At 48.2% G+C, this 22728-nt stretch overlaps 5 annotated features.

Moving 5' to 3' along the window:
* Nucleotides 11164–11665: an enhancer, noted in NCBI's record as "H3K4me1 hESC enhancer chr10:86350401-86350902 (GRCh37/hg19 assembly coordinates)". NCBI's record gives its function as "activates a minimal SCP1, AML or CMV promoter by ChIP-STARR-seq in primed H9 embryonic stem cells {active_cell/tissue: H9 hESC(primed)}" and the evidence as "EXISTENCE:reporter gene assay evidence [ECO:0000049][PMID:30033119]".
* Nucleotides 13022–13535: an enhancer, noted in NCBI's record as "H3K4me1 hESC enhancer chr10:86348531-86349044 (GRCh37/hg19 assembly coordinates)". NCBI's record gives its function as "activates a minimal SCP1, AML or CMV promoter by ChIP-STARR-seq in naive and primed H9 embryonic stem cells {active_cell/tissue: H9 hESC(naive and primed)}" and the evidence as "EXISTENCE:reporter gene assay evidence [ECO:0000049][PMID:30033119]".
* Nucleotides 13536–14050: an enhancer, noted in NCBI's record as "H3K4me1 hESC enhancer chr10:86348016-86348530 (GRCh37/hg19 assembly coordinates)". NCBI's record gives its function as "activates a minimal SCP1, AML or CMV promoter by ChIP-STARR-seq in naive H9 embryonic stem cells {active_cell/tissue: H9 hESC(naive)}" and the evidence as "EXISTENCE:reporter gene assay evidence [ECO:0000049][PMID:30033119]".
* Nucleotides 14070–14867: an enhancer, noted in NCBI's record as "OCT4-NANOG-H3K27ac-H3K4me1 hESC enhancer chr10:86347199-86347996 (GRCh37/hg19 assembly coordinates)". NCBI's record gives its function as "activates a minimal SCP1, AML or CMV promoter by ChIP-STARR-seq in naive and primed H9 embryonic stem cells {active_cell/tissue: H9 hESC(naive and primed)}" and the evidence as "EXISTENCE:reporter gene assay evidence [ECO:0000049][PMID:30033119]".
* Nucleotides 18412–18911: an enhancer, noted in NCBI's record as "H3K4me1 hESC enhancer chr10:86343155-86343654 (GRCh37/hg19 assembly coordinates)". NCBI's record gives its function as "activates a minimal SCP1, AML or CMV promoter by ChIP-STARR-seq in naive H9 embryonic stem cells {active_cell/tissue: H9 hESC(naive)}" and the evidence as "EXISTENCE:reporter gene assay evidence [ECO:0000049][PMID:30033119]".

The raw sequence follows: 22728 nt of genomic DNA, 5'->3' as shown, positions 1-22728 counted from the left end.
AGAGAGGTGCAGAGAGAGGTGCGGAGAGGTGCCACCTGCAGTTGCTCCCTTAGCTTTGCCTGCGTGTCACAAATGCACACGGAGACAGGTCAGCCCTGGAGAACACGGGGGGAAGGACAGAGAAACTCCGTGTGTGTATACGTGGTATGGAGTGTGCATTTGTGGCGTACGCGTGGTGTGTGGTGTGTGTGATGTGTGGTGTGTGGTGTGTGTGGTGTGTGGTGTGTGTGATGTGTGGTGTGTGTGCTATGTGGCGTGTGTGCTGTGTGGTGTGTGTGCACGGAATGTGTCTAGTGTGTGTGTGATGTCTGCTGTGTGTAATGTGTGGTGTGTGAGTAGTGTATGTGTATGTGTGCAGTATAGTATGTGTGGTGTGCAGTGTATGTGATATCTGTGCACGGGTGTGTGGGGAGTGTTCACGGTTACTCCCTGCGTGCTCTGTGCTCTGGATGCAGTGAGGCTGGTCACTTTTGCGGTGCAGGTGGAAAGGTGTTTTCTGGCCGTCCTTGATTAGCTCTCCTGAGGAATGGTCCACCCTGTACAGGTGTCCTAGAAGCTGCCCAGGGAGATCTCTACCTGGTTCTCCCTGCCTGGCAGGCAGCGCCTCCCGGGCAGAGGCTGAGGATGCTGAGGGCTGGGTTAGCGGACAGCGGGACAGCCTGGACACTCAAGCACCTGCCGAAGCCCTCTAGAACTCACTGCAGAGGCTCCATCTTCTTTTGATCAAGTCCCCACACAGAACACTGTGAGGCTTTGTCCCCCCACCTTGAGGGTGCAAGGAAGCCCCCCAGGGTCCAAAGCCAATCGCACTCCATGAGGAGAGGCCCCTGCAGTCTGCAGATGGACCCCTGAGGTCTCAGCCTCCCCGGGTCCAGTCAGAAGCAGCGCTTCTGGGCTGGGAAAGAAGCCCGCATTGCATTTTCTAGATCTGTTCCTCTTCCCTCATGCTGGGTCCCCAGGCTGGAGACCCATCTCCACTCACCCATGCTCCTGGACCCCATGTCTGTAGGTCCCACATTTTCTCTCCACGTGCCTGTGACCCACTGCTCCAGGCAGTGGCTGTGAGAGATGAATTCACATGTACAAATCAAGAGAGGCAGCGCCCACCTTCCTGTGGCAAGACGGAAACAGGCAGAAGCCCCAGACACCTCCTGGCAAATGAAGGTCCGTTGGCACACAAGCCCATCTTCCAAGGCAGTGTCCAGTCCTGAGCTTGTCGGAAGGTTAAGAGGTCCCATGGGGGAGCACAGGGCTGGGCCACGCTGCCTGCACATATGGCCCAAACACAGAATTTGGAGGAGCTGGCAGGGTGAGAAATCATGGCCTCTGCTCAATGTAATGCCCTTCCCTATCCCAAATACTGCACATCCTAGAGAGCAAAGTTCAATGATCAACCACTTAAAGCAGAAACAGGGGCAAGTGTCTCACCTCAGCCAGGCCTATGGGAAGATGGAGCTGAGGATGAGGACCAGGGTAGGAATGAAGCCACCATGGGTGCCTGACCATAAAGAATCCATGAGGGGGCCGGGCGCAATGGCTCACGCCTGTAATCCCAGTACTTTGGGAGGCCAAGGCAGGCGGATCACGAGATCAGGAGATCGAGACCATCCTGACTAACATGGTGAAACCCCGTCTCTACTAAAAATACAAAATATTAGCCAGGCGTAGTGGCAGGCGCCTGTAGTCCCAGCTACTCAGGAGGCTGAGGCAGGAGAATGGTGTGAACCCGGGAGGCAGAGCTTGCAGTGAGCCGAGATTGCGCCACTGCACTCCAGCCTGGGCGACAGAGCGAGACTCCATCTCAAAAAAAAAAAAAAAAAAAAAAAGAGAATCCATGAGGGATGTTCTGACCTGTGGGCTGGAACTGGCCAGCCCTCACCATGCAAATGCACACCTTCATCCAACACCTTCACCCAACACATTGACAGTTCTGCAAATAACACCTACATCCTACACAGTGAGAGTGTGCAAATGAAATAGACACTCACGGTCAGTTGTGAGAATGAAATGGGAGCTTGTAGTTAGGTGAGTGTGTGAATGCAATACGAGCTCATAGTCAGGTTCCACGCAGGGTGGGAGGCCAGCATGCGATCACATCTCCCCTCTCAGACAGAAATGATGCAACCTGGAGGGAGGGCCACCCTTCTCCAGAGGAAATCAGGATCCAGAAACACTCCCCACAGCTGAGCAGGAAAGCTCCAATTACGTGGAACTGAACAGAGACACAGAAAGGACTGGGCTTGCACTAAAACCATTTGATTAAATGGTCGTGGCAGAATATAGGTGGTGGGAATATGAATGCTCACTGTAAAATGGTTTCATCCTTGCTGTGTGTTTGAACATTTGTATAATAAAATGTGGAGGGCAGGGGTGGTGAAACAACATTTGCACCTGCAGAGGACAGGAGAATAGAGAGTGACAGCAGTTCATGTGAAAATCTCTAAGGTCTTCAGGCAGCAATCAATGGCCTCATCTCCAAAAAATCAGCTCCCCCATCACTACTGGGTCCTCAGACCCTAACCCAAGAGCACGGCCATCTTGTGGGTGTAGCATCTTCTCCTCCCAGGCCTGTGATTCCTGGACTTCTGCAAGACTTTGCTATATTTTGGAACTATATCCTTGCTTTTGGTATTAAAACGTCTATTTTAATGTTAAATGATGGTGATAACAGGTTTTTTTTTTTAATGCTTGCATCTAGCAGAATAAAATGTTGGCAACCTTGGACTGGTATCGAATATTCTTTTTGGAAATGTGACTGCCCTGTGGAAACCAGATCTAGGTACTTCCAATATGGTAGAATGTGTGGACTTGGATTCCCACAGCCATGGCCAGGGACCCCAGATTCACCACCTACTGGCTGAAACTGAGATCTCCCTCTTGCCTCCCATCGGAAGTGAATAAACTTTCCTAAGGCAAGTTAGGCAAGTTCTTCACTAAGGCAAGTTTATTTACTTCTGGTAGAGGGGAAGGAGAAGGCCTCAGTGTCAACATCCTTACAAAAAAAAAAAAAAGGAACATTTCATTGCACAAAACTTAATTGAATATTTTTTAAAAAGTCATTTGGGGAACAACTGGGGACATTTGAATATGGACTGGGTTTTAAATGATACTGGGTTTTATGAACTTCTTCAGATATGAAAAATGGTATCGTGGTTACATGGGAGAAGGTCTTTATTTTTAGATACATGTGCTAAAGTATTTAGAGGTAAAGTTTTCTGATGCCTGCAATTTCCTTTGAAATGGTTTAGGAAAAAAATAGAGCAAGAAGCACATTTGGCAAAATGTTAACAGTTGTTGAATCTAGGTGACAGATACATAGGTGTCCATATACTCTTCTCTTAAAACACCTCACTTACTGATTTTTGGGGCAGATTACGATGATATATCAGAGAAAGTACTGTGCCTGAGACCAAGGCAGGCAAGGACAGAGCCATGGCCCCAACATTCACCACCCCCAGGGTCCCAGCCATGCCCCATTCCAAGACAGGCTCATGATGAAATCTTGTGCAGAAGCCTTATCACCTTCCTGCATATTCTAAATGTTCAGCCCCACCAGTAACCTTGCCATTGTGTTTCTGGGATCCCAAGTTATTGAAATTGTTTGTATCTGCGGGGTTAGGCAACTGGCCAAGAAGTCCCAGAAATAACAAAGAAATTCTAAAGCAATGATTTGGGTGACAGAGAGAAAGAGGGACAGAGAGAGGAAGTGACAGGAAAGAGGGACATAAGGTGGGAGAGAGAGAAAGGAGAAGGAAAAGGAGGGAAGAGGAGGAGGAAGTGACAGCAGTGGCACATGACAAAATGTGTGCTCCCCTAGCTTCACTACCAACTCTGCTTATTGCTACTTTTTTTTATTATGCTCATAAGCTCAGCGTGGCCTCTATCATTATGAAGGTAGAGTGCTATCATTGATGGTGTTTGACCACTCACTAGCTGAGTATGTACTCATGTCTGAAATCAACGTGTCATGTGGATGGCAGACTGACCTGCAGAAGGCTAGGAGAGAAATATCTTGTGCTTCAGGGAGATCTGAGCACATAAAAGGACAATAAGGGAAGGCTTCTCGGGCAGGAGGTGAGTACAGTGTATTTCTTGCCATCTGATGCCATAGTCCTTCCCCAAAAGAAAGCTCTGGACTTCAACCCACTTGCCAAAACCAAGTAGAGCATCAAATGAAAGCAGCCACAGAGCACCTGTGACACCTACCTTGGTGAAGAGGCCCTTGAAAGGGCTCTGTGTCCAAGAGGAGAGGGAAGGTAAACCCAGTGATGAACTCCAGCAGCAATCTCCAACTAAAGACCAAAGAGTAGCATGAGGTCCAGACTGCCTTGGCCAGAGCCTCTGACAATAGCCCAAAACATCCTTCCACACTGTAGATAAGTTCCCCGTTCTTCATAGAAATTGACCTTTCTGGTTTTAAAGCTTGAAATTTGTATTTGTTTTATCTGAGTTCCTTTCTCAGAAAAGCATTTTCAGGACTCTTAAAAAATATATATCAAAAACTGAAACTCACCAGATCACTACATCCAGACAATGAGACTTTGGACCCCTCATTCATCATGATTGCTTCCTTGCCCCTCCCTAGTTCCTCTTTTCTTACACATTGTTACATTTCTTCTCTGCTATATAAAACCCTGGTTTTAGTCCATCAAGGAGATGGATTTGAGACTGAGTTTCTATCTCCTTGGCTGCAGCACCGAATTGAAAACTTATTCCTTTGAAAAAAAAAAATGTTTCCCATTCTTGGTCCAACAGTAGACCCAAAAGCTACCACAAAGGGGCTGGCCAATGAAGGTAAGGAGTGCCCTGAGATGGTAGAAGCATGTTTCCCTGGCTTCTGGAATCTTCCATAAACTCTGAGAGGTGTCAGCCTATCTTATCTTCTGTCCTCTGCAGAGACCATCCTCCCCAGCCCTAAGCTCCCTGCCAATGAGGGCTCCAGGAGCAGGAGTTGCTGAGTCAGAGCTGGTGCCTCCCAGCTACTCCAGCACCTGTTAGCTCAGTCTGCAGGCCTGAGTGCCTGCCTTGGTCCCACTCCTCTGTCTTTACATTACTCCTAAAATTCTCAGAGCCTGGAGCTTAGACTACGAGGTCAAGAATGCCACTCTCGCTGAGAACCCTCACTCATCATTTTCATATTTTTCCATCTCCTCTTGTCCCCCAGCCCCCAGCTCCTCAATTCCATACATCTATGATTCAAAGCCCACCACAGATTCCACATTCAAAAGCCACCAAGGGCAGGGAGAAGTGTCTGTTAGGCAGCTGTTCTGGCTGCTGCCTGCTGCAAGTACCTGTAAGTGCTGGGAGCCACAGTACAGAGAAACTGGAGGCCAGCAGAGGGTTGCGATTATAGCCCCATTTCGGGGAGGAGGGAGCTAAACAGAGATTGCAGCCATCACTCCTCACTTCTAGTCAGTCTTTTCACTTCTCTGAAATTTTATGTTGGGCAATTTGTCTCCATTTGCATTGTCATGTTCATCACTCAGGGACTGGCTCTCTCTTCTGCACCATTGCAATAGTTTGCCATTACTTTATGCACACATGCATGAATAAATGCGCATCAAGCTCTGACTGCAGGGCAGGTCCTGTGCTAGGCACTGGGGAAAGATGCCATTTCTGCCACTGCAAACCAGAAAATGAGCAATGCCAAGTTGATCTTCCCAAAGACCATCACTAACTTGTCACTTTCCTACTCTGAATTTCTAGAAAGGGGCTGGGCACGGTGGCTCACGCCTGTAATCCCAGCATTTTGGGAGGCAGAGGCGGGTGGATCACGAGGTCAGGATCCTGGCTAACATGGGGAAACCCCATCTCGACCAAAAATATAAAAAATTAGCCAGGCATGGTGGTGGGCGCCTGTAGTCCCAGCTACTAGGGAGGTTGAGGCAGGAGAATGGCCTGAACCCAGAAGGTGGAGCTTGCAGTGAGCCAAGATCGTGCCACTGCACTTCAGCCTGGGCAACAGAGCGAGACTCTGTCTCAAAAAAAAAAAAAAAGAATTTCTAGAGAGGTCGCCTTATCTCATGGACTAGCTCAATACCTAAAGGAGTTATTAAGACAGAAACTAACTAGTGTTAGTACCTCCTTGCCCAATCTCCACTCCAGGAAAGATAGCCCAGCTTTATTTCTAAAACTCTGAGCTCTCCTTATCTTTACCTCTCCCTACTCTTGGAGAAGCTTAAGAGTTTTGTGTGAGTGTGAGTGTGTGTGTGAATGCAATCCTAAACTAAAGCTGGTCATGTAAAAGGAGGGGATGAAGGTGAAAACTTTCAGGATAAAAGCAGAAGCCAGCAGACAGGAAGTTTTTTTGTTTGTTTGTTTGTTTGTTTTTTGAAATGGAGTCTTGCTCTGTTGCCCAAGCTGCAGTGCAGTGTCGCAGTCTCGGCTCACTGCAAGCTCTGCCTCCTGGGTTCACACCATTCTCCTGCCTCAGCCTCCCGAGTAGCTGGAACTACAGGCGCCCGCCACCATGGCCTGCTAATTTTTTTGTATTTTTAGTAGAGACGGGATTTCACTGTGTTAGACAGGATGGTCTCGATCTCCTGACCTCATGATCTGCCCGCCTCGGCCTCCCAAAGTGCTGGGATTACAGGCATGAGCCACTGCGCCAGGCCCTGAGAGGAAGTATTTTTGCCAGAAGGAGGGGACAATTACTCCTCAGCTGTATTAGGTAGCCAGAGGAACAATCGTGATCACATGAGAAAGAGGAACCTGGGTCCTCTCTAAATTTTTCCGACACCAGATAAGCTTCAGATCCTTTGATGACACCATGGTGGAGAGGAAGAAGTCTCATTAGTAATTGCTACTGGGTATCCTCCCAGCCAGATAGGTGAAGTCTGAGAGCAAATTTAATCTGATTAAGAGAAATAAAGGAATATGGCATGTCATACCCTGTTGCTGTGAAATAAGATTTATACCAAAGGTCAAAACTCCTTGACTGAATGCTTACAGCTCTCCATGACCAGATACAAGCTTGAGTCTCCAACTTAGCCCACCTCTCCACTACCTAACATCTAGGTAACATCTATACCATGTTCAAGCATCGCCTAAAAGTGTCCTCTTATTTCAATTTTTTTGGATTAGTAACTCCCATCCCTGTGCAACACTTGTTGCAGACGTCTTTCTAAATGTCTTATCTTCTTTTTAGAGGAACCAACTGCTGAGTGCCCCTCAGCAGAACTCATCTCCTGACTAATATTCCACAATTTAGAAGCCACTACAGCCGGAAATGTATCCATGTCTACTACATAAAAGATGTCAATAGTCACTGGTCACTAACAAGAGGAGGGGGAGGGGGCATGAAGCCCACCTACCAAGCGGACTGGCATCCTCAGTCGGCCTCACGCCAGCTGTGTTCCTTGGGCAGGTTAATCTCTCTTACCCACCTCAAAATACTGTTATGAAAAATGAGATGATGTATGTAATTATTGAAAAAGAGGCCCACACATAAAGTGCCCCAAGGATGCAAGAGTCCCTCCCACTGAAAACAGTGATCAGCAAAGAAAATGGGAATAAGATGCCATGGTGATAAAGGGAAGACTCAGATTCAGAGAAAACTTAGAGACAGTGCTAAAAATGCAGATGCAATGACCAAGGTGACAGAAAAAAGAAAGCTACGCAGGGCACCGCCAAGTAGAAACTATGGAGAATCTATAGACCCACATGGCCGAGGGCGGTGGCTCACGCCTGTAATCCCAGCACTTTGGGAGGCGAGGCGAGTGGATCACGAGGTCAGGAGATTGAGACCATCCTGGCTAACACGGTGAAACCCCACCTCTACTGAAAATACAAAAATATTAGCCTGGCATGGTGTTGGGCGCCTGTAGTCCCAGCTACTCCGAAGGCTGAGGCAGGAGAATGGCGTGAACCCGGGAGGTGGAGCTTGCAGAGAGCGGAGATCGCGCCACTGCACGGCAGCCTGGGCGACAGAGCAAGACTCTGTCTCAAAAAAATAAAAATAAAATAATAGACCCACACGCAGGGTAGGTCACCAAGTCCGTGACATGAAGCCCACTCCGGGAACTTGGGGCCACTTTTTAATTCTCACCCTGCGCTCCCCACACACCTGTGCCTCGCCAGTGTGACCCACGCTTTGGTCTTCCTCTCTGTGCCATCTGCAGACTCCAACTGACATTTTTTTCTGGCCCAACCTATTTGTGTCTGATAATCTTATACATGGGTCTCAGGCATGAGCAAAAAGGTTTAAACAGGAAAATTCAAAGGATTCATGGAATCAGCTTCTAAAGATCGAAAGCTACTGGCATGCGCTAGGGTATGCATGGCACAACCTGGGTCCTCACCATTTTCGAATTGGGATTTGGGGTCAAGCCAGCTCCCTCTTCCATCAGCAGAAGCCCTTCCCCTGTCCTAGGGCTTATTTGCATGGATGGCACATGGGTTTCTAGGCAAGAGCGAAAAATAGAAATGAACAAATGAAGGCTAGCTTGATTCTAGCTTACCCTGCAGGGAAAAAGTGACTGCAAGTAAAAGCCGAGAGTTGCTTTCATGAGTACGCTGTGAGGCTCCAGACACAGGCGGGGCTCCCGGGGCCTGGATGAAAAAGTGGCACAGAAGGGGGGGGGCCCCACTTCTCCCTGGCACACGGCCCACTTGAATTCAAGAAGACAGAAGCATATGCAATAATGTGGAGCCCCTTGGGGAGCAATGCTATTTGGAGAGCTCTGGGAAGCAGCAGCCAGAGTGAGAATTGGGGCTTTATAAAAGGGCAGGGAGGCGAGGGAGTGGAGGGGCCTCTCTCAAGCAACAGCCAGAAGGAATTCAACTTGGAGACCAGAATAGGACAAAAGGACTGGGCCGATTGAGAGCCCACCTGACTTTCCTAGGAACTCCAAGATCTCTAAGCATACATGGAAGGCTGAGATCCTGCCTCCACTGTGGGAGTAAACAGCCACCAGCATTCAGACTATACATATTGAAGCTATTTTATTGTTAAGTGCATGCTAATGGTCCTGGGGACCATAGGGATCACACACAAATGTGGGGTGAGCACCTCACATTTCAGAGGGAAGAGGCTCCACGTTAGGCACTGAGCTGTGGTCCCAAGGACCAAGCCTCTTGCAGGAGGGACAGGCCTTTATTTGACAAAGAGATAGGCTATAACCACATACAATGGCCCATGATCTAACGCCAAATGAATAGCACAGATGACAAGAAGTTTGAAATTCAGAAAAGGTCAAGGTCAGTGTGTTGAGTGCTCCAGGGAGGATCTCAGAAAACATTCATTTGTTCTTCCCCTACTTTTTGTTGCCCTCATGATATTGATTAATTAAGATTTAATAGAAGTGATCTTAGTTTCCTATTGCTACTACAACAAATTACCACAGTTAGCAGCTTGAAACAACACACATTTATTATCTTACAGTTCTTTAGGCTAGAAGTCCAACATGGGTCACTGAGCTAAAGTTGGAGTGCTGGCAGGGCTGAGCCGCTTTCCTGGAGGCTCTGGGGAAAATCAGTTTTCCTGCCTTTTCCAGATTCAGGAGGATCCCACAGCCCTTGACTTGTGATTTCTTCTCCATCTTCAGCCATCAACATGGCACCTCTCTGACCCTTATTCCATTTTCACATCTCTCTGATCACAGGCAAGAGAGGTTCTCAGCTTTTAGAGACTCGGGGTTAGATTGGGCCCACACAGTAATTCAGGATAATCTCTCCTACCACATTTTTAAATCTTCATCACAAAGTCCTTTTTGCCATGTAAGGTAACACTTACCAATTCCAGGAATTGGCATGGGGATCTTTGGTGGGGGAAGCATTATTCCGCTTATCACAGAGCAGATATTTTCCAAGGTAAAGTAAAAAAGATAAAAGTCTCTACCACAAAAGCATGTCCATTTCTCCTCATGCAGCCTACATTCACGGTATATTCCTAACAGTCACATCACACAGGAGCTCACATTAAGTTAACGGTCAACTAAAATTGCAAGATTGTTTTTTATGTTTAGGGCTAAGTCTTAAATAAACAATACCTATTTCAATATTTTTTTCTTGAAAGAAACTCCATTTTCAAGAAGTAAAGTGTTCAAATTATGATTGATTGATTGAGTGTAGCTGATATTAATCAGCCTTCTGGGTTAGCACTCACAGTCAAGAGAATCACGTTTTCATCTTAAATAAACAAACACATATTTACCTGTGGCTCTCAGAAGTGAGTTTTCATGAAAGACAATTTAGTTTTATTTAAGAAAGTTTGCCAGGCTCTTCTCATGGCTTATAATAAATGTAAATAAAGCCATGCTGCTTCCAGTGTTTAACAAATTCACTATCTATGGAGCACCTCCCAAGAGTGGACCAGGCACTGCTCTGAGCTATGAGAACACAGAGAGTAGTCAGAGCTGCCTTTAAGAACTCAGAGGCCAGGCTGGGTGTGGTGGCTCACGCCTGTAATCCCAGGATATTCGGACGCCAAGACAGGATGATTGCTTGAGGCCAGGAGTTCAAGACCAGCCTGGGCAACATAGTGAGACAACCATCCCTAAAAAAAATACAAAAATTAGCCTGGCATGCTGGTGTGCACCTGTAGTCCCAGCTACTTGGGAGGCTGAAGTGGGAAGACCACTTGAGCCCAGGAGGTCCAGGTTGCACTGAGCTCTGATCATGCTACTGCACTGTAGCCTGGGTGATGAAGTGATACCCCATTAAAAAAAATCAGAGCCTTGTAGGGAGAAAGGATTGTGGCCTTGGGAGAACCTCTCTGATGCAAGATCATATGGGGGTTATATGGGGGGACCAAGGGGGCCACACACCACCCAGGTGAGAGGAAGACACCAAGCCCTTCACAAGGTGACAACTGCTCCAGATTTAAAGTCAAGGAGCAGGAACAGTCCTGGCAGGGGGTAGAAGGAGCAAAGACATGGAAGTGTGAATGGTCTGCTCATGGAGGGTCTGTGGGATTAAGGGGCTGGGGCTGGGGAGTAGGAAGCCAGAGTAGGAGCAAAGGTAGAAGCCGGGTCCCAAGGAGCTTTGAGCCATGACAAGGTAAGAAGTAGCAGGAATGACAATTGGACACCTGGCTCTGATGGAAAGAGAGAGTGATTAAGGCTCTTCAGTCCAAGGGAACCACTGGAGGGGCCTCAGAGCACCAGGCGGGAGAAGGCATCATCTTTGACAGTGCAGGGTCTGCAGCTGGCACCATCTTTGCAGCCTCTGGCCAGGCTGCCCCCTTCCCCTGGGTTTCCAACTCCTCCTCTGGTGAGCAGGAGCCACCAACTCCTCCTCCCTATCACCGCATGATATAAAAACCCAGTGAACTGCAGCTCACGAGAGCCCTGGGACTAGTTCCAACTGCCTTACAAGAGCGAGGGCAGCCCATTGCTGTGAACGCTCAGTGCCAGCCCAATGTGTTCTGGGCAGTCTCAAGGAAACAAACAACCCGCTTAATAACCATTCATTCGGAATTGTATCCAAGAGTGCCCGGCCACTCTTCTCTAGGTGGAAACCAAATCTAACTGATTTATTTTAAGTGAGAGTTACACAAGTCATCACTAAGTACAGATTTAAGCTTTCAGAATTAATGAAAGGAAAAAATTGCGAATGTGCCCAAACCACAGTCCAAACGAGGCTTTGTCCTTGAACAATCGTAATTCAGGATTGTCGTCTCCGGGCCTGATAGTGAAAAGGAGACTTTATCCAGCCCCTTCTCCAAATAATAAAAATTGATTTTTGACTGGGGCAATCTATTGTTCCAGATCATTAACTTCAGAGAATAAATCATTTTCTGGGGTTTGCTGTTTCAGGTGGCTGGCAGTGCAGAACTAAAAGCTGCTTTCAGCTGGAAGGAGACTGGGGAGGAAAAAGCGGCCTCCCTTTTCTGATTCTCTGGGCTTCCTTTTAGGTATTTGAGTTCCAGCTAGAACTAAATGCTTAAGGCTTCTCATCATGAGGGTTGAGTTTCAGCTTTTCTTTCTGAAATGCCTTCTACCCACCCCTCCGGGTCAGCCTGGGGACATTAAGGATGGAGCTGACCCCAGCAGCAACTGATCCATGGGGCCCGGGACATGCCAACCCCACCCTGAGATCAGAGCAGGGAAACAGTGGAAAATAAGAAGTAGCAGTCTTAGTTTCCCTCTCTGTCCTCATCTTCTTTGAAATGTCCCTTTCTGCTAATGAGGCAGCTCTCCCTGGTTCCCCATCCTTGCACAGGTGTGGCTTTAGCCAGGGAAGAGAGGATGGTCTTACAGGTCACCTCCTCTGCCTTCTAGCCAAGGTCACTGGGATTGACAGTCCCTGTGGCTGTGGAGGGGAGACCTGAGGTATGCACTTGCCCTCCAGGTCCTCACTGGTTTCCTCTGGGTGAGTGGGGGCAGGGGGTGTTGAATAGCGTTGGCCCCTGAAATCTTCAGAGGAGACCACTGTTAGCTCCACAGGCCTGTGGCCTCTCAGCCACACCCCATGTGTCCTCAGCCACCTTCCCTACACCCGCACAGCCAGTAGGGAACCAGGAAAAGTGTCTCAAGCTGTTTCTTTGTTTAAGCATCCTACTCTGCCATTTTTCCCAATGCCATCACCAGCCTAGTGGGCCTGAGGCTGCCCAGAGCCAGAGGTTAACCAGGACTGGAGACGCAAGTCCCTATACTGTGGGCTTCCCTTGCAGCAGCCCCATGCCCCTGTCTTCTCGGTCCCAATCCCATGATCACCACTGATGAGGACAAGGAGTGGGGGACTGAGTTCCTCAGGACCCTAGGGAGAAGTTTCCCAAAATCCCTCCATCCTCATACCATGCCCCTTCCCACCTGGGGGAACAGAGCACTCCTGCATCTGTTCTTCCTTCTGATCCACCTGACAGATGCCCTTGTCCTAGAAACCCACACTTACTCCCCAGACTTCTGAGTTTTGTGGTCCAGGCCTAGAGTCAGACCCAATGCAAAGAGAAAAGCTCATTTAGCCTAAGGGAAATGGTTGGGTTTGAGTTGCTTTCTGCTATTTTTAGTGATTATTAATGAATGCAGGACTGGACACGAAGTTCCTGCTTGAATTTTCCCAAGGACAGTTCTGGGGGCCTCCTCCCTCTGAGACACCAGGGATGAGGGGGCTGGTAGGAGGGGTTCCACCTTGGATTCCATCTGTGCAGGGCCTCCCAGGGCAGAGGAGGGACTCTGCTGGCCTACACACATCCCTTCACAAGTGAGTAGGAAAACCAGGGGACCTGGCACCAGGCCAGCAGGAACAGAGGTGCCAGGCCTCAGTGAAGGCCAGCCTCTTTTGGACACCGAACTGCAGTGGCTGAGCCCTGGGGTTTGTTAGGCATCCTGATGTGAGATCTGAAACCCTGGATGCTCAGAGCCACCATCTCCCTACATCTTGTTCCCTGCAGAGGGGATTCTTCTCCCAGACACCAGATCCTGGAAGGGGGCTGACACACTGCCCACCTGCCCAGTCCTCTCTGTCCAGGTCTGAGCTTGTTCCTTAGGAGCCAACCCACCCACCATAGCATCACTGCCTGCTCCATTATCACAGCCTCTGAGGCAGTCACAGCCTCAGGCACTTCCTGCTGGGCAAAGAGGAAAGTGGAGCAGGAGCCATCCAAGCCAGACCCGGACCTGATGAGGACCACCTTTTTGGACACTGTCCTTAGGAAGCCCATTTCTCCTGCCCACTGGGTCAGAACTCACTCCTGTTGCCAGCCGCAGCCGCCCAGGAATGTTCCCCCGACCCCTAGCTCCAGGGCCTCCCACTCCCTCTGAGGCCCCAGCAAGTCATTCACGGGCCTCTGTTATGTGTCCATTGGCATGGGCCTACTCCTTCACCAAGAACCCATGGCCCTGTCTTCCTCTACTGGGGCTCTACTTTTCCTTTTTGTGGCTACACTGTTGCCACAAATTTATTTTCTGCAGATCCCAGAGGCTTGTCCTGGGAGAGGCAAGAGTAAGGACAGTCAGTGAGCAGGGCAGCAGCAGCCAAGGAACCTGCTGAGTGGGGGCTGCAGGGAAGGTGTGGGAAGCAGAGACGCTGGGCTCCTCCACATTGGCTGCAAAGGTCATGAGCTGCTTTCCTGCAAATGCATCTCCATCTGGGATTGAATGTCCTTTGATTGAGTTTAACATCTGATCCTAAAATGTGTTATCATATGTAAAGCCATCTTTAACAATATCATGCCGTAATCTTCAAAATTTAATAAGGCCTCCAGAGATAATTAATAAAATGTAACCTAACTTCAAAAGGAAAATGTAGTAGTATAATGTCTTAGATACTAAAGGACTGCTGCTCCCAGGTGTCCTGTCCCATGACCCTTTCACCACCTTTCAGGGAGCCTTAGCTTCTCCCAGCACCACCCTGCAGGGAGGAGGAAGGGAAGAGTCAAACCAGAACAAAGAGCTAAATTCTTGCCTTTGAACTCAATTCCAAGAGCTGGGTGCTTAAAAGAGGACTGGTTTTCCTTTGAATTTCAAAGGATTTGAGTTAAATGATCAGGAGCCAGAGATCTGAGACTATAGCATGGAGTTGTTAAAGTCCAAGAGTGGAGGAGGTGAGTGTGAAGAGGGTCTCAGGCTAGGATTCAGAACCATTTCCCTGCCGAGGGTCATCAGCAGGGTCTGTAAGTGGGGAGACACAGAATGGACATTACCTGGGTCCCTTTTAAGGGACTGAGAGAGCCAAGTTATATTGAGGAAGAATCTGAAGGCTCGCACAGTGCAGTAGGCTGCCCCACTTCCCATCTAAAATTCTGGAAGGAGATTATTGCCTCAACTAGCTTTTCAGCAACATGGGAGCCCCGGGAGAGTAGAGCTGGTGGTATGGCACGTTTGGGCAACACAATTATTAAGATTCTTGGTTTCAAACCCAATAAAAGCCAATTCTGGCTAACTAAGAAAAATTAACAGTATCTTTAGCTAACTAAACCAAAGATCATCTCTGGCAGGGTCTCAGTGAGAATGCCCATAGTGGACAGTCCTCAGCTGAGAGGTCAACATGGAGATCTCTGACTGTTGTTGGCCTCTGCTTTTGCAGATGCCACTGCTGAGGGTCTGCAGCTGGTGCATGAAGCTGACCCATCTCCTTCTTCAGACATGCCTAGCATCATTCTTGCACTACTGGCCCTCTGACACTCAGCCATGCCCACCATTGTCCTTAGCAAGACTAGGCCCTGCTCTGCCGTGATCTCTGGCAGGCACACAAACCCCCAGCCACCATCTGCCTCCTTCTCCTAGGGTTGTAGAAAATGTCTTGGCTTTTCTCCAGGCTCTGCTGGAGCTGAGAGAGACTGGGGTGGTCGGACAGAGGCTGGCTCAGGCCCTATCCTGCTCTGGAAGATGTTTTTTATTTTGGCTACTCAGAAGCCAAACCTTTTTTCTATTTGTGGTAATCCCAAAACAGAAGGGAGGTAGCTCTACCTCTGAAAACATGAGTGTTAGTAGGGAAGGGGACAGATACTCCCCTCCCCCACTGGCTGGCCATAGGGTGGGCGTGTAGCTGGAGTGTGGCCAACCAGGTGCTACCACTAGAACCTGGCTTAGGAGGCACTGAGTCAGGGCTCAGGTTGGGAAGCTGATTTTTTCCATGGTGGCAGAGGTGGGATGGAGCCCAGCAGTCTGGTGGAGCAACGCCTACAGCCAAGGTGAAGATGGCTTCATTATCAGCTGTCTGTGTCCACTGAGGGACAATGTCTTGCTAGACCCTGCTTTCTTGGGATTTGCCTGAGCCTTGGCCTGCAACCTTGCTCCAAAACAAGGACAACACAGGAAACTGCACTGAGAATTTCCCTCACACCGCATGCAAGGATAAGAGGAGAAGGAGGGGGCTGGGTGCAGTGGCTCACACCTGTAATCCCAGCACTTTGGGGGGCCAGGGCGGGCAGATCATGAGGTCAGGAGATCGAGACCATCCTGGCTAACACGGTGAAACCCCGTCTCTACTAAAAATACAAAAGCAAAATTAGCTGGGCATGGTGATGGGCGCCTGTAGTCCCAGCTACTCGGGAGGCTGAGGCAGGAGAATGGCGTGAACCCAGGAGGCAGAGCTTGCAGTGAGCCAAGGTCGTGCCACTGTACTCCAGCCTGGGCAACAGAGCGAGACTCCGTCTCAAAAAAAAAAAAAAAAAAAAAAAAAAGGAGAGTAAGGGGTCAGGTCTGAATTTGGTGAAATACGTAACCAAATCAACAATGTTTTAAATCAAAAGAAACTGAATGACCAAGATTAAAGTCGGTGTGTAGATGGTGAGAGGGGGTGGTTTTGCCCTCAAAGGATATGAGTTCAGTGATTTTTTTTTTTAATGAGATTGTTTTATGTCTGGTGTGGACGTGACCATAAATATAAATGTGGGGGCCGGGCGCAGTGGCCCACACCTGTAATCCCAGCATTTTGGGAGGCTGAGGCGGGCGGATCACCTGAGGTCAGGAGTTCGAGACCAGCCTGGCCAACATGGTGAAATCCCGTCTCTACTAAAAATACAAAAATTGCCGGGCATGATGGTGGGCGCCTGTAATCCCAGCTACTCGGGAGGCTGAGGCATGAGAATTGCTTGAACTAGGGAGATGGAGGTTGCAGTGAGCCCAGATGGCGCCATTGCACTCCAGCCTGGGCGACAAGAGCGAGACTCCATATCAGTAAATAAATAAATAAATAAATAAGAGCCTCCCAGGAGTGGCAAAGAGAACAAAGCTGCTGCACATCTGGACAGAGCAGTGCCTGTGACTGGGTGGGGGAAAACGGCAACTGCGTTTAACACACTGCGGGTCTTACGGGAGAGAGCCATGGCTGACTGAGGCCCTTCACAGGAATGGAAGGGATGCCTTCTGCATCTCTGACAGAAGCCAATCTCTCCTGGAAGTGAGAGAAAGTGGCCCTCACCAGCTTGTTTCTGAGATAGTTTGGGGCATGGAGCCAGAACAGTACCATTTTATTTCCTTGAACTCCTTCCCCAGGGTCTTCCCTGTGCCTTTCAGAGAACTGCACTCTCACTCTCTTCCCTGCCCTTGGACGACAGTGCCTTTGGCTCTGTGCTCCTTGGGTCACCCTCCTTTGTCCCACGTGTGCCACCATGAACCCACTCGGCAGCCCGGACCCAGCCTGCCTGGAGGGATGGTCAGACAAGTGGACTCCATCTCAGGAGCAATAGGTGGAAAGAAATGGGGGCTCACACCACACCACACCACACTGGACAGTGACAGGAGCCCCAGCATAGCCAGAATGGAAGACTTTGAGGAAGAAGCATGGGTACCTGATAGTGGGAGAAAAGATGATCAAATGGCCTCCCAGGGGCCTTCACCAGATTCCCCAAGAACCAGCAGACATTAAAAGGGGAGGTGGGGCTCCGAATCGGAGACTCCAATATTTGAGAGGCAGGTATCCCGATGGTTCAGCTGTAGATGTGGCCCAAGAAGCTAGGCTACTGGACTATCCAGTTAGAACTCGGGGGTAAAGAAGATTTCAGCAGCCTTTAAGAATGTTTGCAAACCCCCAGATGGAGAGCACATGTCTGGGGATGAGGGGTGAGAGCAAGAAACAGTGCTCCCTCCCCACCCACAACCATCTTCCTGCCCCCAAGCCAGCTCCTCCTTCCTGGGCAGCCACCAGCAGCTGAGGGACACGAAAGAAGTACAGTGCCTCTGACTGCCTCCCAGGAGCCCATCCTGACCTTGACTCTAAAGGGGTTAAACATCCAGTGAAGTGACATTCTTCCCTTTGCCTGAAAATTAGTGATGAGGGCTCCTGCCAAAAACATCTTCTATATTCCAAGGGGATGAGATTTAAATCAAGATTGAGATTGAAAGTGTAATTTTAGATTAAAGTTTAATATCCAAGAGACACCTGAAAGTTACAGAATCTTACCAGGATGCTGTGAGGGATGGGAAAGAGATTCAACAGAGCATAGATGAAAGAAGAGTCTGGGGGAAAATAAAACTGCTCATGTTCACACCTCTCTGGGCTGAGTCTTCTCAACCAGTGAATTACAAGGAGGCCTCAGCATGTCATCCACTCCCTGAAGTTCCAGATGGGCTGGTACACAGGATTTGCTCTGGAAACAGATATGCCTGGTGCTCCTCTTCTCTCATCTTCTGTGAGAGAGAGGGAGAGGGTAAGAGGCAGGGAGAGGAACGGAGCCCACACTGTGTTGAGCTGATGCTTCCCATCCATCATCTCCCTTGTCTAGGCAACCTATTTATCAGATGGCAAAACTAAGTCTCCAAGAGTGGAAGCCATGAGCTTAAATGTTCTTATATTTACATCTAGCTTCATCTGACACAAGGCCACACCCTTTCCTCTGTGTCACAAATAGTATTGGATTACACTGCCATGCCTGAAAACAACCCTCAACTTTCTCTTTATTTTCCCCAGTTCACATCACTCTGCACAAGCCCTCTTCCCTGAGGAGCCTGGCTTTGTTGCCATCAGTAATGCATTTCCCAACATTTTCCTGGACATCAGCTATCATACTGAACACTCACCAATCTGCTCTCACGTCCCTGCCTCCTACAGAGAAGACGGCCATGAAGGCAGATCTTTCTTCAAGAGCTACAATTCTGAGCCCCCACTGGGCAGTGCCTTTATCATGTGAAAACATTCCAGCAACGAAAAAGGCAAAATCTTCTCTATAAAACGTCAGTCTGTTTTCCCAGGCACAACTCCCTAAACATAGACAACCAGCCCAGAAACTGTGGCTCCCAGAAGGAATTTCTTCCAGGAAAACTTGGCCAGACCTAAAACAGCTCATTTTCTTCCTGAAACTGTCTCCTGCCCAGTCTGCAAAAGGCTCAGCTGAGCAGGAAGCTATGGTTTTTCCTTCAATCATTCATTCACACATTGGACCGCTGTTTGCAGAGTCCACACCTGGCCCCTGCCTGTGCTAAGCAGGAGGGGAGTGATGAGCGCAGAGGCTCAGGCCTGGGGAGATGTAGGCAAGTCCAGTGAGCACAACACAGGGGTCCCAAGGAGCTTGGCACAGCAGCAGAGGGCCAAATTTGAATTCAGGGGGCCAAGAACAGGCTGGGGAGGTGACGTGTGGACTGAGATTTGATGGACAGATATCAGCTAAGAGCATCTGTGCTTGCCAGTGTGCTTTGAGGAGTGATGTCGGTGCGGCACACACTGGGGTAGTCTTTGTTCAAGTTCAGAAATGGTTTCTTGGCCGGGTGAGGTGGCTCACGCCTGTAATACTAACACTTTGGGAGGCCAAGGCGGGCGGATCACCTGAGGTCAGGAGTTTGTGACCAGTCAGGCCAACATGGAGAAACCCCATCTCTACTAAAAATACAAAACTTAGCCGGGCATGGTGGCGGGCACCTGTAATCCCAGCTACTTGGGAAGCTGAGGCAGGAGAATCCCTTGAATCCAGGAGGCAGAGGTTGTAGTGAGTAGAGATGGCACTACTGTACTCCAGCCTGGGTGACAGAGCGAGACTCAGTCTGAAAAAAAAAAAAAGGATTTCTTCTGCTTCTGGAAAAGATGGCACGTGACGGGGAATTTACCCTCCTGCCTAAAACAACCAAATATCCAGATAACATATAAAACAAGGGTTTTCAAGACACTAGCATCTGGCTGTGAAAAACAGAGATCCCCAGGAGATGGGAAATCAACAAGGTGCCCTTCCTGACTTGAGAGAGCTCAAGGCTGTGGCGCAGAAGGGAGAGCCCAGGGGGCTGGAGTCCACAAGATCCAGTGCTGATGAGGACAGAGATGCCCAAGAAAGAGTACTGGAGATGTGTGGAGGATCCCGCAAGTATTCAGCAGAGTTCTGACCAGTGCATGCCCGTGTGTGAGGAAGCTGTGTGAGGCTTGGGGGTGGGGCATCTAAGGAATTAGAGGGAGCAGCACCCAACAGGGCCAGAAATGGTGCCTGTTCCCAAGGCCAGCCTGCAAAGTGCCATCATGAATATGGGTCACAGTGACAAGTCTCTGACTTTAGCCCAGCTATGAAATCCCCACAATCCCCATCAATCAAAACCCTGCCTCTCAGTGTCAACCATACCACGTGCTCCTGGCCAGCCCGCACTCCGTGCCTCTGCCATCCCTATCCACACCTCTCCCCTTGGGTAGCCCCTGGGCCTGTGACTCTGAAGTGGACCTCACCCTTCCTGGCTGAAGCTACGGCTTCTCTTCCCACTCCATTGCACACCGGCTGCTCTTCCCTTCTTCGTTTCTCCAACTCCTGCCTCAGCCTCCCAAAGTGCTGGGACTCCAGGCATGAGTCACCACGCCCAGCCCATTATTCATTCCTATTCATTGCTCTGAAGGCAAACTGTCTTCATCACACCAGTTTTGGACATTCTCTTCCTTGGCCAAGGTGCACCAGTGTGAGTGACTTTTCTTTTTCTTTGTGTGTGTGTGTACTTGTTTTAATTGATAGATAAAATTTGTATATATTTGTCATGGACAACACGTTTTGAAATATGCATACAATGTGGAAAGGCTCAATCATAATACACTATTACCTCATGTACTTACCATTTTTGTGGTGAGAACACTTAAAATCTCTCTTAGCAATTTTCAATTATACTTGTTATTAACTATAATCACCACATTGTACAAAAGATCTCCTGAATGTATACCTCCCATGTAACTAAAATTTTGTACCCTTTGACCAATATCTTCATATTCTCCCTCTCCTTTTTTAGGTTTCACATGTAAGTGAAATGCAGGATATGTCTTTCTGTCCCTGACGTACTTTAACATTATGACCTCCAGTTCCAACCTTTTTGCTAGAAATGACAGGAGTTCATCCTTTTTTTTTTTTGAGACTGGGGGTCTCGCTCTGTCACCCAGGCTGGAGTGCAGTGGCACAATCTCAGCTCACTGCAAGCTCTGCCTCCCAGGTTCACGCCATTCTCCTGCCTCAGTCTCCCAAGCAGCTGGTACTACAGGTGCCTGCCACCAAGCCTGGCTAATTTTTTTGTATTTTTAATACAGACGGGGTTTCACAGTGTTAGCTAAGATGGTCTCGATCTCCTGACCTCGTGATCTGCTGGCCTCGACCTCCCAAAGTGCTGGGATTACAGGCATGAGCCACCGTACCCGGCCTGATTTCATCCTTTTTATGGCTGACTAGTATTCCATTGTGTACATAAGACATATTTTATTTATCCATTCATCCACTGGTGAACACTTAGGTTGATTCTGTATCTTGGCTATTGTGAATAGTGCTGCAATCAACATGGGAGTATACATACCTCTTTGGTATAAGGATTTCATTTCCTTTGGATATATACCCAGAAGTGGAATTGCTAGATCATATGGTAATTCTATTTTTAATTTGTTGGGGGACCCCCTGCTATTTTCCAGAAAGCCTGTACTAATCTACATTCTCACCAACAATGTGCAGGAGTTCCCTTTTCTGCACATCCTAAACAACATTTGTTATCTTTTGTCTTTTTGATTAAAGCCCTTCTAAAATATGTGAAGTCGTATTTCACTGTGGCTTGAATTTGCATTTCTCCAATGATTCATGATGTTGAGCATTTTTTCATACATTTTTACATACACATTTGGCCATTCGTGTGTCTTCTTTTGAAAAATGTCTATTCAAGTCTTTTGTCCATTTATTAATCTCATTATTTGTTGTCTTGCTGTTGTTCGAGTTCTTTATATATTTTGGACGTTAACTCCTTATCAGAAGTGTGGTTTGCAAATATTTCCTCCCATTCTGCAGGTTGTCTCTTCACTCTACTGATTGTTCCATTGGCTGTGCAGAAGCTTTTTAGTTCGATGTAATCCTATTTGTCTATTTTCACTTTTGTTACCTGTGTTTTGGGTGTCATATGCAAGTAATCTTCGCCCAGACTAATGTCATGGAGCTTTTCCCCTATGTTTTCTTCTAGTAGATTTACAGTTTCAGGTCTTACGTTTAAGTCTTTAATCCATTTTGAGTTTATTTTTATATGGTGAGAGATAGGGGTTGTGAGTGCCTTTTCCTTATAGCTCTTTTATTTGTCTCACAGTTTCAGATGATTTGACACCCCCTTTTCTTAGGCACTTGGCACAGACCATCTGAGGACTGGTTAGGAGACAATAGATGTAATACTGATTGGCCTCACTCAAGATTGTCACTCAATACTGGCCCTGCACAGAGTCCCTGAGCCTTGGAGTACTTGGGATTCATACTTCTGTCAGAGCTGCTGGGCTGCTTTCTTCCCCATAGTACACATTGCCCAGAAGGCCACCAGGAGGAGGAGACTGGAAAGAGGAGATGGAGGAGGAAGAATAACAACAGACGATTTGCCAAGCTCTGCCTCATCCCCGTAGTGGACTGCAGCAGCATCCTACCCCACATGGGTGATCTCAAAGACAGTCAAAAATAACCATCCTCACAGCTGCCAAAGCTTTGAGAGGAACATTTACTGTCCAGTTGCCTAAAAGAAAACATGAAGATGCACAGATGTCCAGTCTGCTGACTGTTCAGAAACCACTAGTCACTTCTACTAGTACTGCAGCATTGACCTTGGGTCTTCATTCACCTCTTCCCCAATGGAAGCCAGGGACAGCCTTCTGGTCATTGGCAGTAGAGAACAAGCCCATTAACAATGTTTGGTCTGAAGTGGCTTCTGTTGTGTGGGAAACTTAAAGGTCACAAAACATTAAATGTAGAATATCAAGCTAGGAAAGAGTGCATGTCGGGGAGGCAGAGAAATAATAAACACATTGAATATTTTCCCTTCATGCCTTTCATTATTTGACGAGTTGGAGCTTGTGAAACTTACGCAGCTCCAAACGATCTCAATAGTTATCAGTGAGAGAGTTCTACAGGTATTGGGTATGTTTGGCTATTATCTCAAGTAC

Source organism: Homo sapiens, chromosome 10, assembly GCF_000001405.40.
Source record: "Homo sapiens chromosome 10, GRCh38.p14 Primary Assembly".
Taxonomy (NCBI): Eukaryota; Metazoa; Chordata; class Mammalia; order Primates; family Hominidae; genus Homo; species Homo sapiens.
Note: the sequence above shows the minus strand (reverse complement) of the source record. Positions and strands in the feature narration are given on the sequence as shown.